This window comes from Homo sapiens, chromosome 15 (genome assembly GCF_000001405.40).
Source record: "Homo sapiens chromosome 15, GRCh38.p14 Primary Assembly".
Taxonomy (NCBI): Eukaryota; Metazoa; Chordata; class Mammalia; order Primates; family Hominidae; genus Homo; species Homo sapiens.
The window spans coordinates 55938920-55956165 of NC_000015.10; the positions used below are offsets into that span (position 1 = coordinate 55938920).

General features: G+C 40.8%; 1 protein-coding gene and 1 non-coding gene across 6 annotated transcripts in view; both read right to left on the reverse strand.

Annotated features, from left to right (window-relative positions):
• Positions 1 to 17246, reverse strand: part of NEDD4 (NEDD4 E3 ubiquitin protein ligase) — a 166696-nt gene that overhangs the window by 112003 nt on the left and 37447 nt on the right. For 2 of the 5 annotated variants that reach the window (NM_006154.4, XM_011521625.4), the window contains 2 exons: positions 12592 to 12670; positions 12457 to 12495 (listed from right to left, as the gene is read on the reverse strand). In NM_006154.4, the coding sequence (NP_006145.2) occupies positions 12457 to 12495; positions 12592 to 12670 (118 nt within the window). Of the gene's footprint in view, positions 1 to 12456; positions 12521 to 12591; positions 12671 to 13662; positions 13770 to 17246 lie in introns of those variants that run through there. The other 3 variants (XM_011521626.2, XM_011521624.4, NM_001329212.2) reach the window with 3 other exon arrangements.
• LOC124903604 (small nucleolar RNA U13) lies at positions 16782 to 16885 on the reverse strand. The gene has a single exon (XR_007064830.1). It is a non-coding gene; the product is annotated as a small nucleolar RNA U13 (small nucleolar RNA).

The following is a 17246-nucleotide window of genomic DNA, read 5'->3' on the forward strand; positions in this document are numbered from 1 at the left end:
AAACAGTGTGTCACTACAAAAAATAAAATAAAATAAAAATGGTGGTGCGTGATGGTGTGCACCTGTGTTTGCAGCTACTAGGGAGGCTGAGGTAGGCCATCATTTCAGCCTAGAAGGTTGAGGCTGCAATAAGCCATGATTGTGCCACTGCGCTCCAACCTGGATAATAGAGTGAGACCGTGTCTCGAAAACAACAACAACAACAAACAAAAAAACCCACCACCAACAATAATATGGTTTGGCTCTGTTGCCCACCCAAATCTCATCTCGATCCGTAATCCCCACGTGTCAAGGGAGGGAACTGGTGGGAGGTGATTGGATCACGGGGGCAGTTTCCCCCATGCTGTTCTCATGACAGTGAGTTCATTCTCTGGAGATCTGACAGTTTTACAAAGGGTTCCTCCCCCTTCACTTTCTCTTCTGTCTCCTACCATCTTGTGGAGAAGGTGCCCGCTTCCTGTTCATCTTCTGCCATGACTGAGGCCTCCCCAGCCATGTGGAACTGTGAGTCAGTTAAACCTCCTTTGTTTATAAATTACCCAGTCTCAGGTAGTATCTTTATCATAGTGTGAAAACGGACTAATACAAGCAACAAAGAACCTAATTTAAAAAATGAACCAAGGACTTCAACAGACATTTCTCCAAAGAAAACAAACAAATGGCCCACTCTTTATGTAAAAAGGTGCTCAAAAATCACTAATCATCAGGGAAATGCAAATCAAAACCACACCTGTTAGGATGACTATTACAAAAATTTTTAGATTTTTTTAGTTAACAAGTTTTGGTGAAGATGTGGAGAAACTGGAATCCCTGCACATGTTGGTAGCAATGTAAAATGCTCCAGCCTCTACAGAAAATAGTATAGCCTCTATAGAAAACAGTATAAAGGTTCCCCAAAAAATTAAAAAGTAGAACTACTGGATCATCCAGCAATCCCACTTCTAGGTATGCAGCCAGAGGAAATAAAATCACTGCAATTAAAGTTATCTGCCCTCCCACGTTCATTACAGCATTATTCACAGTAGCCAAGATATGGAAATAATCTAAATACCCATTGAAGGATACATTAAGAAAATGTGACATATACATACAATAGAATATTATTCAGCCTTCAAAAAGGAAACCCTGCCATTTCCAACAAAATGGATGAACCTTGAGGACACTACCCTAGGTGAAATAAGCTAGTCCCAGAAGAACAAATACTGACTATCTTACTCACAAAAAGTATCTAAAATAGTCAAATTCATAGAAGCAGAGAATAGAATGGTGGTTTAATACTATATTATACACCAAAACCTTTGTGAAGAGGGTACATATCAAGTGTTCTTACCACAAAAAAGGGGGTGATAGGAGGAAACTTTTGGAGGTGATGGATATGTTTATGACTTTGATTGTGGTGATGGTTTCACAGCTGTATGCATATGTTTAAACCTATCAAACTGTATGAATTAAATATGTGCAGGCTTTTTCTATATGAACTATACCCCCAATAAATCAGTTAAAATTTTGTTTAAATGGCTTATTTTTCTCATTAACATCTCTAATTCCAAAGTAGTCCTTCCTCCCTCTCTCCCTCCTTCCTCCTTCCCTCCTCCCCCTTCTCTCTCTCTCTCTCTCTCTCTCTCTGCCTCTCTGCCTCTCTCTGTCTCTTTCTTTTGGGACTGTCTCACTATGTTGCCCACGGTATCCTCGAATTCCTTGGCTCAAAGAATTGTCTCCCATGTCAGCCTCCAAAGTAGCTGGGTCTATAGGTGTGTGCCACCATGCCTTGTGAAGAGGGTCGTTTTTTTTTGGTAGAGATGGGGTCCCACTATTTTGCTCAGGATGACCTTAAACTTTTAGGGGGCCCACCCTGGCCTCTCGAAGTGCTGGTATTATAGGCATGAGCCACCATGCCAGGCCAAACATTCTTTCTAATAAAAGAATAAGATCATCAAAAAGAATGGCAATATTTTTAAATTATAAGCACCTTAAATTTTTTAAAATAAAAAATAAATTATAACATTAATTCCTCTAACAGATATCCATATTTTCTGTTTCTACTTATATTGGTTTTAGTATATTTTGGCTTATAAGAATTTATCCATTTAAACTGAGTTGTTAAAATTACAGGCATAAAATTAGTTACAATATTACCTTTTAAAAAGTATCTGTAGGTTCCCTCCTCTGATTCCTAATATTGGTCATCTGAGTACTCTCTCTGTCTCTCTCATATAAGGCCAGCTGTTGTATATCAATTTCATTAATTTTTTTGAAGATCCATCCTTGGTTTTATTTATTTTCTCTACTTTTTGTCCATTTTCTTGTCCATTGATTTCCACTCTTATTTCCTTCCTTCTTTTTCTTTAAAGAACTTAAGGTGGAAGCTTAGATCATTGATTTTGAATATTTCTTCATTTATATACAAGTATTTAAAGGTATAAATTAATCTCTAAGCACTGAAATAGCTTCATCCCACATTTGGTATGTTATGCTTTAACAATCAATCAGTAAAAATGCTTGTTAATTTCCCTTTTATTTTCTTTTTTGATCCATGGCTTATTCAAAAGAAACTTGTTTAATTTCTAAACATTTGTGATATACATACGTGTGTTACTGAATTGTAACTTAAATCTGCTGTGATCAGAGAACATACCCTGTTAAATTTCTTTTTTTTTTTTTTTGAGACAGAGTCTCACTCTGTCACCCAGGCTGGAGTCCAGCAGCACAATTTCAGCTCACTGCAACCTCCGCCTCCCAGGTTCAAGCGATTCTCGTGCCCAGTCTCCCAAGTAGCTGGTATTACAGGTGCGCACCATCACACCCAGCTACTTTTTGTATACTTTTTTTCTTTAGTAGAGGCGGGGTTTCATCATATTGGTCAGGCTTGTCTCAAATTCCTGACCTCAAGTGATATGCCTGCATCGGCTTCCCAAAGTGCGAGGATTATAGGCGTGAGCCATTGCGCCCAGCCAATCCTGTTGAATTTCAATCCTTTTAACTGTACTGAAACTCGGTTTGTGGCCCAATATGTGGTCTATCTTGGTAAATGTTCCATGGGCATATAAAAAGAATATACACTTGGGTATTAGCTGTAGTGTACTATACATGTCAAACAGGTTAACATGATTGGTAGTGTTGTTCAAATCATCTATATATTTACTATTTTTTTTTTGTCTAGTTGTTGTATCAGTTACTAGAAGTGGTAAAATCAACTATTGTGGATTTGTTTATTTATTTAGTTCTGTCAATTTTGACTTCGTAATTTTAAAGATTACTAGGTCCATACACATTTCAGATTGTATGTCTTCTTGTTGAATTCACTCTTTATAATCATGAAATGCCCTCTTTATCTCTGGCAATACTGTCCTGAAGTCTAATTTGGCTAATGTTAATACAACCATTAACATATTTTTTCTGGTGTTTGTATGGTATCTCATATGGTTTGGAATTATGTCTCTGCCAAAATCTCATGTCAAATTGTAATCCCTAATGTTGGAGGAGGGGCCAGATGGGAGGTGACCGGATCACGGAGGCAGACTTCCCCCTTGCTGCTCTGGTGATAGTAAGCGACTTCTTATGAGATTTGGTTGCTTAAAAGTGTGTAGTACTTCCCCCTTCATTCTCCTCCTCCTTCTCTGGCCATGTTAGATGAGCCTGCTTCCCCTTCACCTTCTGTCACAATTGTTAAGTTTCCTGAGGCCCCCTCATCCAGGCTTCCTGTACAGCCTGTGGAACTGTGAGTCAATTACAGCCGTTTTCTTTATAAACTGCTCAGTCTCAGGGAGTTCTTTATAGCAATGCAAGAACAAACTAATACAGAAAATTGGTAATGGGAAGTCAGGCATTGCTATACAGATACCTGAAAATGTGGAAGCAAGTTTAGAAGTGGGTAATGGACAGAGGTTGAAACAGTTTGGAGAGATCAGAAGAAGAAAGGAGGATGATGGAAAGATAGAATTTCCTAGAGACTTGTTGAATGGTTGTGACCAAAATGCTGATAGTGATATGAACAGGAAAGTCCAGGCTGAGGTGGTCTCGAAGACAAGGAATCTTTTGGGAACTGAAATAAAGGTCCCTCTTGCTATGCTTCTACAAAGAGACTGGCAGCATTGTGCCCCTGCTCTAGAAATCTGTGGAACTTTGAACTTGAAAGAGATGATTTACGGTATCTGGCAGAAGAAATTTCTAAGCAGCAAAGTGTTCAAGAAGTGGCCTGGCTGCTTCTAACCATATGCTTATATGCATTCACAGAAATGATCTGAAACTGGAACTTATATTTAAAAGGAAAGCAGAGCATAAAAGTTGGGAATATGTGCAGCCTGATCATGTGGTAGAAAAGAAAGCCCCATTTTGTGGGGAGGAATTCAAGCCAGCTGCTGGAGCTGAATGTTCATAGCCAAGACAATGGGGAAGATGCCTTGAATGCATTTTAGAGATCTTTGTGGCAGCTCCTCCTATCACAGCCCCAGAGGACTAGAAGGGAAGAATGATTTCATAGACCAGGCCCAGGGCCCTGCTGCCCTACACAACCTTGGGACACTGCTCTCTGAGTCCCAGCCACTCCAGCTCCAGCTGTGGGTAAAAGGGCCCAGATATGTCTCAGGCCGCTGCTCTAGAAGGTTCAAACCGTAAGTCTTGGTGGCTTTCACATGGTTTTAAGCCTGCAGGTGGGCACAGGGCAAGAGCTGAGGCTTAGGAGCTCTTCCTAGATTTCAGAGGATGTATGGAAATGTGTCGATATCCACACAGAAGTCTGGATATTGCAGGGGCAGAGCCCTCATGGAGAACTTCTATTAGGGCAGTGTGGATGGGAAATGTGGGACTGGAGTCCCCACACAGGGTTCCCACTGGGACACTGCCTAGTGGAGCTGTGAGAAGTAGGCCACTATCGTCCAGACCCCAGAATGGGAGATTGACTAACCGCTTGCACTGTTTGCCTGCAAAACCCTTAGGCACTCAACACTAGCCTGTGAAAGCAGCTGAAGGGATTGTACCTTGCAGAGACACAGGGGTGGAGACACCCAAGGCCTTTCGGAACCCACCCCTTGCATCAGTGTGGCCTGGATGTGAGACACAGAGTCAAAGGAGATTATTTTGGAGCTTTAAGATGTAATGATTGGAAGATGGCCAAATAGGAACAGCTCCTGTCTGCAGCTCCCGGTATGATTGACGCAGAAGACGGGTGATTTCTACATTTCCACCTGAGGTGCCTGGTTCATCTCATTTGGACTGGCTGGACAGTGGGTGCAGCCCACAGAGGGCAAGCCGAAGCAGGATGGGGCATTGCCTCACCTCGGAAGTGCAAGGGGTCAGGGGATTTCCCTTTCCTAGCCAAAAGAAGCTGTGATAAACTGTACCTGGAAAAACAGGACACTTCTGGCCAAATACTGTGCTTTTCCCATGGTCTTATCAACTGGCAGACCAGGAGATTCTCTCCCATGCCTGGATTGGCGGGTACCATGCCCACAGAGCCTTGCTCACTGCTAGCGCAGCAGTCTGAGATCGACCTGCCAGTCTGCAGACTGGTGGGGTAAGGGGTGTCCACCATTGCTGAGGCTTGAGTAGGTAAACAAAGCAGCCGGGAAGCTGAAACTAGGCAGAGCCCACCTCAGCTCATCAAGGCCTACTGCCTATATAGACTCAACCTCTGTGAGCAGGGCATAGCTGAACAAAATGCAGCAGAAACTTCTACAGACTTAAATGTCCCTATCTGACAGCTCTGAAGAGAGCAGTGGTTCTCCCAGCATGGGATTTGAGCTCTGATAACAAGAGACTGCCACCTCAAGTGGGTCCCTGACCCCCGTGTAGCCTAACTGGGAGACACTTCCCAGTAGGGGCCAACAGACACCTCATACAGGCAGGTGCCCCTCTGGGACAAAGCTTCCAGAGGAAGGATGAGGCAGCAATATTTGCTGTTTTGCAATATTTGCTGTTCTGCAGCCTCCACTGGTGATACCCAAGCAAACAGGGTCTGGAGTGGACCTCCAGCAAAATCCAACAGATGTGCAGCTGAGGGAACTGAGTGTTAGACGGAAAACTAACAAACACAAAGGAATAGCATCAACATCAACAAAAAGGACATACACACCAAAACCCCATCTGTATGTCACGAACGTCAAAGATGAAAGGTAGATAAAACCACCAAGATGGGGAGAAACCAGAGCAGAAAAGCTGAAAATTCTAAAAACCAGAGCGCATCTTCTCCTCCAAAGGATCGCAGCCCCTCGCCAGCAACAGAACAAAGCTGGAAGGAGAATGACTTTGATGAGTTGACAGAAGTAGGCTTCAGAAGGTCGGTAAAAACAAACTTCTCCAAGCTAAAGAAGCATGTTCTAACCCATTGCAAGGAACCTAAAAACCTTGAAAAAAGGTTAGCCCAATGGCTAACTAGAATAAATAGTGTAGAGAAGACCTTAAATGACCTGATGGAGCTGAAAACCATGGCACAAGAACTTTGTGATACATGCACAAGCTTCAGTAGCTGATTCAATCAAGTGGAAGAAAGGCTATCACTGATTGAAGATGAAATTAATGAAATAAAGTGAGAATACAAGTTTAGAGAAAAAAGAATAAAAAGAAGCAAAGAAAGCCTCCAAGAAATATGGGACTATGTGAAAAGACCAACTCTATGTTTGGTGTAGCTGAAAGTGACAGGGAGAATGGAACCAAGGTGGAAAACACTCTACAGGATAATATCAAGGAGAACTTCCCCAACCTAGCAAGGCATGACAACATTCAAATTCAGGAAATACAGATAACACCACAAAGATATTCCTCGAGAAGAGCAACCCCAAGACACATAATTGTCAGATTCACCAACGTTGAAATGAAGGAAAAAATGTTAAGGGCGGCCACAGAGAAAGGTGAGGTTACCCACTAAGAGAAACCCATTAGACTAACAGCAAATCTCTCAGCAGAAACCTTACAAGCCAGAAGACAGTGGGGGCCAATATTCAACATTCTTAAAGAAAATAATTTTGAATGCAGAATTTCATATCCAGCCAAACTAAGCTTCATAAGAAAAGGAGAAATAAAACCCTTTATAGACAAGCTGAGAGATTTTGTCACCACCAGGCCTGCCTTACAAGAGCTCATGAAGGAAGCACTAAACATGGAAGGGAACAACCAGTACCAGCCACTGCAAAACCATGCCAAATTATAAAGATCATCGATGCTATGAAGAAACTCCATCAATTAACGAGCAAAATAACCAGTGAACATCATAATTACAGGATCAAATTCACACATAACAATATTAACCTTAAATGTAAATGGGCTAAATGCCCCCATTAAAAGACACAGACTGGCGAATTAGATAAAGAGTCAAGACCCATCAGTGTGCTGTATTCAGGAGACCCACCTCATGTGCAGAGACACACATAGGCTCATGAGAATAAAGGGATGGAGGAAGATCTATCAAGCAAATGGAAAACAAAAAAAGCAGGGGTTACAATCCTAGTCTCTGATAAAACAGACTTTCAACCAACAAAGACCAAAAGAGACAAAGAAAGCCATTACATAATGGTAAAGGGATCAATTCAACAAGAAGAGCTAACTATCCTAAATATATATGCACCCAATACAGAAGCACCCAGATTCATAAAGCAAGTCCTTAGAGACCTACAAAGAGACTTAGACTCCCACACAATAATAACGGGAGACTTTAACACCCCACTGTCAACATTAGACAGATCAATGAGACAGAAAGTTAACAAGGATATCCAGGAATTGAACTCAGCTCTGCACCAAGTGGACCAAACAGACATCTACAGAACTCTCCACCCCAAATCAACAGAATATACATCCTTCTCAGCACCACACCACACTTATTCCAAAATTGACCACATAGTTGGAAGTAAAGCACTCCTCAGCAAATGTAAAAGAACAGAAATTATAACAAACTGTCTCTCAGACCACAGTGCAATCAAACTAGAACTCAGGATTAAGAAACTCACTCAAAACTGCTCAACTACATAGAAACTGAACAACCTGCTCCTGAATGACTACTGGGTACATAACGAAATGAAGGCAGAAACAAAGATGTTCTTTGAAACCAATGAGAACAAAGACACAACATACCAGAATCTCTGGGACACATTTAAAGCAGTGTGTAGAGGGAAATTTATAGCACTAAATGCCCACAAGAGAAAGCAGGAAAGATCTAAAATTGACACCCTAACATCACAATTGAAAGAACTAGAGAAGCAAGAGCAAACACATTCAAAAGCTAGCAGAAGACAAGAAATAACTAAGGTAAGAGCAGAACTCAAGGAGAGAGAGACATAAAAAACCCTTCAAAAAATCAATGAATCCAGGAGGTAGTTTTTTGAAAAGATCAACAAAACTGATAGACCGCTACCAAGACTAATAAAGAAGAAAAGAGAGAAGAATCAAATAGACGCAATAAAAAATGATAAAGGGGATATCACCACCAATCCCACAGAAATACAAACTACAAACTACCATCAGAGAATACTATAAACACCTCTATGCAAATAAACTAGAAAAGCTAGAAGAAATGGATAAATTCCTCGACACATACACCCTCCCAAGACTAAACCAGGAAGAAGTTGAATCTCTGAATAGACCAATAACAGGCTCTGAAATTGAGACAATAATTAATAGCCTACCAACCAAAAAAAGTCCAGGACCAGACGTATTCACAGCTGAATTCTACCAAAGGTACAAGGAGCTTATCCACCATGATCAAGTGGGCTTCATCCCTGGGATGCAAGGCTGGTTCAACATACGCAATCAATAAACGTAATCCAGCATATAAACAGAACCAAAGACAAAAACCATATGATTATCTCAATAGATGCAGAAAAGGCCTTTGACAAAATTCAACAGCCCTTCATGCTAAAAACTCTCAATAAATTAGGTATTGATGGGACGTATCTCAAAATAATAAGAGCTATTTATGACAAACACATAGCCAATATCATACTGAATGGGCAAAAACTGGAAGCATTCCCTTTGAAAACTGGCACAAGACAGGGATGCCCTCTCTCACCACTCCTATTCAACATAGTGTTAGAAGTTCTGGCCAGGGCAATCAGGCAGGAAAAAGAAATAAAGGGTATTCAATTAGGAAAAGAGGAAGTCAAATTGTCCCTGTTTGCAGATGACATGATTGTATACTTAGAAAACCCCACCGTCTCAGCCCAAAATCTCCTTAAGCTGATAAGCAACTTCAGCAAAGTCTCAGGATACAAAATTAATGTGCAAAATCACAAGCATTCTTATACATCAATTACAGACAAACAGAGAGCCAAATCATGAGTGAACTCCCATTCACAATTGCTTCAAAGAGAATAAAATACCTAGGAATCCAACTTACAAGGGATGTGAAGGACCTCTTCAAGGAGAACTACTCAAACTACTGCTCAATGAAATAAAAGAGGACACAAACAAATGGAAGAACATTCCATACTCATGGATAGGAAGAATCAATATTGTGAAAATGGCCATACTGCCCAAGATAATTTATAGATTTAATGCCATCTCCATCAAGCTACCAATGACTTTCTTCACAGAATTGGAAAAAACTACTTTAAAGTTCATATGGAGCCAAGAAAGAGCCCACATAGCCAAGACAATCCTAAGCAAAAAGAACAAAGCTGGAGGCATCATGCTACCTGACTTCAAACTATACTACAAGGCTACAGTAACCAAAACAGCATGGTACTGGTATCAAAACAGAGATACAGACCAATGGAACAGAAAAGAGCCCTCAGAAATAACACCACACATCTACAACCATCTGATCTTTGACAAACCTGACAAAAACAAGAAATGGGGAAAGGATTCCCTATTTAATAAATGGTGCTGGGAAAACTGGCGAGCCATATGTAGAAAGCTGAAACTAGATCCCTTCCTTACACCTTATACAAAAATTAATTCAAGATGGATTAAAGGCTTAAACGTTAGACCTAAAACCATAAGAACCGTAGAAGAAAACCCAGGCAGTACCATTCAGGACATAGGCATGGGCAAGGACTTCATGTCTAAAACACTAAAAGCAATGGCAACAAAAGCCAGAATTGACAAATGGGATCTAATTAAACTAAAGAGCTTCTGCACAACAAAAGAAACTACCATCAGCATGAACAGGCAACCTATAGAATGGGAGAAAATTTTTGCAATCTACTCATCTGACAAAGGGCTAATATCCAGAATCTACAAAGAACACAAACAAATTTACAAGAAAAAAACAACCCCATCAAGAAGCGGGCGAAGGATATGAACAGACACTTCTCAAAAGAAGCCATTTATGCAGCCAAAAAACACATGTAAAAATGCTCATCATCACTGGCCATCAGAGAAATGCAAATCAAAACCACAATGAGATACCATCTCACACCAGTTAGAATGGCGAACATTAAAAAGTCAGGAAACAACAGGAGCTGGAGAGGATGTGGAGAAATAGGAATACTTTTACACTGTTGGTGGGACTGTAAACTAGTTCAACCATTGTGGAAGACAGTGTGGCGATTCCTCAAGGATCTAGAACAAGAAATACCATTTGACCCAGCAATCCCATTACTGGGTATATACCCAAAGGATTATAAATCATGCTGCTGTAAAGACACATGCATACATATGTTTATTGCAGCACTATTCACAATAGCAAAGACTTGGAACCAACCCAAATGTCCATCAATAATAGACTGGATTAAGAAAATGTGGCACATATACACCATGGAATACTATGCAGCCATACAAAAGGATGAGTTCATGTCTTTTGTAGGGACATGGATGAAGCTGGAAACCATCATTCTCAGCAAACTGTCGCAGGGACAAAAAACCAAACACCTCATGTTCTCACTCATAGGTGGGAATTGAACAATGAGAACACTTGGACACAGGAAGGGGTACGTCACACACTGGGGCCTGTCATGGGGTGGGGGAAGTGGGGAGGGATAGTATTAGGAGATATACCTAATGTAAATGACAAGTTAATGGGTGCAGCACACCAATATGGCACGTGTATACATATGTAACAAACCTGCACGTTGTGCACAGGTACCCTAGAACTTAAAGTATAATTAAAAAAAAAAAGAAAATACATATGTTTCTAAGAAAAATGTAACAAAATAAGTAAAATAAAACAAAAGTATAAATAAATAAATAACTCAACAACTTGGGAATTTAAAAACACTCTCCTAACCAACACTTGTGCCAAAAAAGCAATCAAAACCAGACATTATCAAGTCTGGAATTTATTCTGGTTAAATAGTAAAAACAGAAATTTAGCTTCATTTTTCTTCATTTGACGATCCAATTGATTCAATACCATTTCCTCAAGAATCCAAAATTTCCAAACCGATTTAAAAGGTTGTTTTTATGTCATACTACATAGAGTGGGGAAAATCTTACTCCAAACCAAAAAAACAGAAGCAACTTAATTGATGCCTTTGGCTGGATCTTCAGCAACAGCTTCCTTGCCCTTAATGTCAGCAATTTCTTCCCTTCAAATTCACTTTATTAAAATTGAACAAAAGAAGACAAACAAAAAATCTTTAAACATGAAGTACAGAAGAACGGCTTCTGTTTTCCTTACTGAAATCAAGTATGGTACCACAGAAGCCTCCAGAGAGGCTGGTGTTTCAGGAATGATCTGCCATGTCAAATGCTGCAAAGAGCATGAGTAAGATGAGATAAGATGAACTTGGCAGCAGGGAAGTCACTGGTGACCCGAATAACAGCAGTTTCATTTGAGTGATGGGGATTTAGAGTACAGTGGGTTAACGAGCGTCCCGGAGAAGCAGAAATGACGAGGGCAGACAACTCTCCCATGAATGTTCCTTATTCAGGTGAACAGAGAAACGACTCAACAGCTAAAGGGGAATATGGGGTCAAGGAAGAACATTTTAGGGATGATACAAGTGGGAATAATCCAGAGAGGGGAAATTCCTAAAATGCATCTCTACCACTGCTCTGGTAGGGTTTCGATTCTGGCAACAGTAAGTACTCTGATATTAAATAGGTACAAGGAGACACTGTCAGTCTGAGGGCCTTGCTGAGGAATTGGAAATAACTGCTGATTGGAATTTGCTTTTATGGTAAATGAGGCAGATGGGGTGGAAAGGCAGCAATGTCAATGACGTGTGGATAAAAAGAAATGCATTCACTTGATAGGCCCTAATCTGTTTAATAATAAATGACTGGGGAGACATAAATATAATTTGCATCATCTTTATGAGAAAACACTGAATCTGCTCAACTGGAGTAAGACTACTGTACAGTCTCTAAATCAGTTTTACTAGAATAAGATAATTCTAGTCTTTTACCTCTCCATTATCTTACATTTATGTTTTTTATAAGACAAAATTTCAATTCCTTTTGTATTTTCACAACTTTAGGCAAATTCTGAGATACATCTTCAAATATTAAAAATGAGAATTTATCATTCTAACCTCCTAAGAAAAAAACTTACTTTTTCCACTTTAGTAAAATAAAATATATACTTACTCTGAATAATATTTCTTCATTCCACTTTGGATTCAAACTCTAAAAAATAATAAACATAGTATAACTAAATAAGGTTTTGTCTTATAAAAATAAAACAAAGTACATTAAAAACTTTTGAATATTGCTAAGTCTAACCTTTTTAATGGTTTTTGTTTGCACACTTGTAAGAACTCCATTCATTGGGTCATATAACGTCACTCTCACGTAAGGATCACTGTTAAAAAAAAAAAAAAAAAGAAAGAAAAATTTTAATTATTGCTTACCCCAAGCTCAGATTACCCAGACTATAAAATTCACAGTTTTCCTTGTTAGTTATATCTACAATTATTTCCTGAATTTAAAAGTCAGGATTCTTAGGCAGGTAAGCAATTAAAGTAATTTTTGCATCTCGTTAAAAACCTGAAGTACCATGTTAGTGAAAGACACAAAGAACTAGAAAGAAAACCTTTTAATCACAGGCCTAATGATTATAAGCTTCCTAGATTTTTAAAATTTTGTTTGATTTTTATTACATTCTTTCTTCTTTTGAGATAAGATGGTTAATTCAATGATTCTGACGCTGGTTTTGTAAGACTTCAGGTTGTCTCAAGTTATCTCATGGGTGTAAACTCTTCTTATAAAGTAAAGGCAAACTGCTTTCACTTAAAAAAAAAAAAACAAAAACTAGGTGTGGCCGCGCACGGTGGCTCATGCCTGTAATCCCAGTACTTTGGGAGGCCGAGGCGGGCGGATCATGAGGTCAGGAGATCAAGACCGTCCTGGCTAACATGGTGAAACCCCGTCTCTACTAAAAATACAAAAAAAAAAAATTAGCCAGGCGTGGTGGCAGGCACTTTTAGTCACAACTACTCGGGAGGCTGAGGCAGGAGAATGGCATGAACCTGGAAGGTGGAGCTTGCAGTGAGCCAAGATCACGCCACTGCACTCAAGCCTGGGCGACAGAGCAAGACTCCGTCTCAAAAAATAAAATAAAATAAAATAAAATAACTAGGTGTTATGTAACCACTTCTACAAGGAGACATGGAGAAGGAAATTCTTGTGATATATAGGGTTGTAAACCACAAGACTTTGGACACTTTACTTGTCCATTGTTAAATTTCTCCTGTTTTCCTCGGGTATCCAAAGTACTCACCATTCTCCACGAAGTACCCTCCAAACTAATCCAAACTATCCTTCCCCCAACTCCATTTCCTCATACCACGTTACCTCTTAATTGGCCAAACTCGAAGGCACCAGAACACTCGCAACATACTGGTATTTATCAGAATCCATCCTTACCCCTAACCTAGTGAGTCAGGAGTCCTCTTGTTTTGAGTCTCATCCCCCTTGTTCAGTTCTCTGAACTTTGGAGCCTTGCGTCATCTGTTCTCACTGCTCTCTTTTAGACCTTTGGCTTTTTCTTTGATCTAGGTTTCTCTAGGCATATAAATGTTTTTAAACTCCTCCTCCCCTTGACTTTCCCTCCCTTCTCCAGCAAAGCAAAATACATCCTTTTCTTCCATTCCCAGTCAAACCTTTTCAGAGGCAGTTTTTAATAATAAAAACAAGAACACTTATATAGCAATTACTCAGTGCCAGACACCACTGTAATCACGTTTCGTGTATTAATTCTTTTTTTTTTTCTTTTTTTTTGAGACAGAGTCTTGCTCTGTTGCCCAGGCTGGAGTGCAGTGGTGCAGTCTTGGCTCACTGCAACCTCTGCCTCCTGGGTTCATGCCATTCTCCTGCCTAAGCCTCCCGAGTAGCTGGGACTGCAGGCGCACACCACCACGCCCGGCTAATTTTTGTATTTTTAGTACAGACAGGGCTTCACCATGTTGGCCAGGATGGTCTTGAACTCCTGACCTCAGGTGATCCGCCCGCCTTGGCTCCCAAAGTGCTGGGATTACCCACGTGAGCCATAGCGCTGAGCCCGTATATTAATTCTTTGAATCTCTATAACCACCTGTGAGGTAGGTACTATTCCTTTCTTTATTTCATACAGATCACACAGCTAGAAAGCGGACAGCCAGGATTGAAACTCCAGCACCTGGCTCCAGAGGCCATACTCTTCTTTTTTTATCTTCTTTTTTGTTTTTTTTTTTGAGATGAAGTCTCACTCTGTAATCCAGGCTGGAGTGCAGTGGCGCGATCTTGGCTCACTGCAGCTTCTGCCTCCTGGGTTCAAGCTATTCTCCTGCCACAGCCTCTCAAGTAGCTGGGATTATAGGCACACGCCACCGCACCCAGCTAATTTTTGTATTTTTAGTAGAGACGCGGTTTTGCCATCTTGGCCAGGCTGGTCTCAAACTCTTGACCTCAGGTGATCTGCCCGCCTTGGCCTCACAAAGTGCTGGGATTACAGGCATGAGCCAACATGCCCGGCTTAAACTCTCTTGCTCTGTCGCCAGGCTGGAGTGCAATGGCACGATCTCGGCTCACTGCAACCTCCTCCTCCTGGGTTCAAGCAATTCTCCTGCCTCAGCCTCCTGAGTAGCTGGGACTACAGGCGCCTGCCACCACGCTTGGCTAATGTTTTGTATTTTAAGTAGAGATTGGATTTCACCAAGTTGGCCAGGATGGTCTCAATCTCTTGACCTCGTGACCCTCCTGCCTCGGCCTCCCAGCCTATACTCTTAACGACTATAGCATACCACCTCCTTTTCTTCATTTCCTTAATTCATGTTACACTTCAAAACCCTACAGTCTGGTTTCTGTCTCTTCCCTTTAGATCCACTCCTATGAAAAGGCTGTTGTAAAGTCATCAGTCTTGTTAAAGTAATCAACATTTTCCAGATACTTCTTTTTTTGGCCCTCTTTATGTTTTTAGATACTACTGACCATTTTCTCTTTGAAACACTCATCTCATTTTGCTTCTACGACACATCTCTTCTAGTGCTCCTCATACCACTCGAACTGTTCCTTCGGTGGCTTACTTAGGCACCTCTTCTACTATCTGCCAGTTAAATACTGATATTCCCTAAGTATTGCCCCAGCCCTCTGTTCTCTCTACATTTTCCCTTTCCAGTCTTATCCATGGTTTTTTACAACTAACTATATACTATTAAATATAAATACAAAATGTAAATGTAATTATGTATCTATCCCTAATCTCACCATCCAGCTAAACAAATACACTTGAACAATACACAGACACTGTGTTCAAGAGTTTTGCCTTTTTTTTTTTGAGATGGAGTTTCACTCTTATTGCCTAGGCTGGAATGCAATGGCGCGATCTCGGCTCACCGCAACCTCCGCCTCCCAGGTTCAAGTGATTCTTTTGCCTCAGCCTCCCAAGTAGCTGGGATTACAGGCATGCATCACCACACCTGGCTAATTTTGTATTTTTAGTAGAGATGGCATTTCTCTGTGTTGGTCAGGCTGGTCTTCAACTCCCAGTTTCAGGTGATCCACCTGCCTTGGCCTCCCAAAGTGCTGGGAATACAGGCGTGAGCCACCGTGCCTAGCCGAGTTTTGCCATTTTTAATTGGCTTTTTAATTATATTATTACTGAGTTGTAAGAGGTTTCATATATATAGGGGGTTAATGGCCTTCTTCAGATATCTTTGTTTAATTGTTTCTCTTGTGGTAAGAATATTTAACATGACCTCTACCCTATTTTGCACTGCACTGCATTGTATTGCATTGCACTGCACTGCACTGCACTGCATTCCAGCATTTTTTGAGACAGAGTCTTGCAACGTTGCCCAGGCTGGAGTGCAGTGCTGCAATCTCGGCTCACTCGAAACCTCTGCCTCCCGGGCTCAAGCAATCCTCCCACCTCAGCCTCCCAAGTAGCGGGGACTACAGGCGCACACCACCATGCCTGACTAATTGTTGTGTTTTTTTGTAGAAACAGGGTTTCACCATGTTGCCCAAGATGGTCTCAAATTTGCAGGCTCAAGTGATCCACCTGCCTCAGCCTCCCAAAGTGGTGTGATTATAGGTTATAGGCATCAGCCACCATACCTGGCAGCTCTACCCTCTTAAATTTTTAATTGCACATACATTAATGTTAACTTTAGGCACAACATTGTACAGCAGATCTCTAGAGCTTATTCTTCCTGCTTGACTCAAGTTTAATGCCTGTTAATTATTAACTTCCATTTCTACTTACCCCTCACCCCTCACCCCAACACAGCAACCAGCATTCCACTCTTTGATTCTATGAATTTGACTATTTTAGATATATAAATGTAAACATGCAGTATCTGTCTTTCTGTGACTGTCTTATTTCAGTTAGTGTAATATCCTAATGATTAATCCATATTGTCACATGAATTTCCTTCTTTTTAAAGGCTGAATAAACACTGTATGTATATACATTTCTTTTTTTTTTCTTTTCATGTGAGATTGGTAATCTGCCCATGTTGTAACAAGCTTCAAGAGTGGCACATCTTACACATGTGCATGGACACCCCATCATGACACTTAAAAACTACAAAAGGATCTATACTACATTTTTTTTTTTTTTTTTTTGAGGCAGGGTCTCGCTTTGTCACCTAGGCTGGAGTAAGGTGGCACAAACACGGCTCACTGTAGCCTCAACTTCCTGGGCTCAAGTGATCTTCCCACCTCAGCCTCCTGAGTAGCTGGGACCACAGGTGTGCATCACCACACCTGGCTAATTTTTCAAAAATTTTTTTGTAGAGACAGGGTCTTATCACCAGGCTGGTCTCGAACTCCAGGGCTCAAGTGATCCTCCCACCTTGGCCTCCCAAAGTGCTGAGATTACAGGTGTGAGCCACCATGCCCAGCCCACATTTCTTTTTTTTATGTTTTTAATTTTTGTGGGTACATAGTAGGTGTAT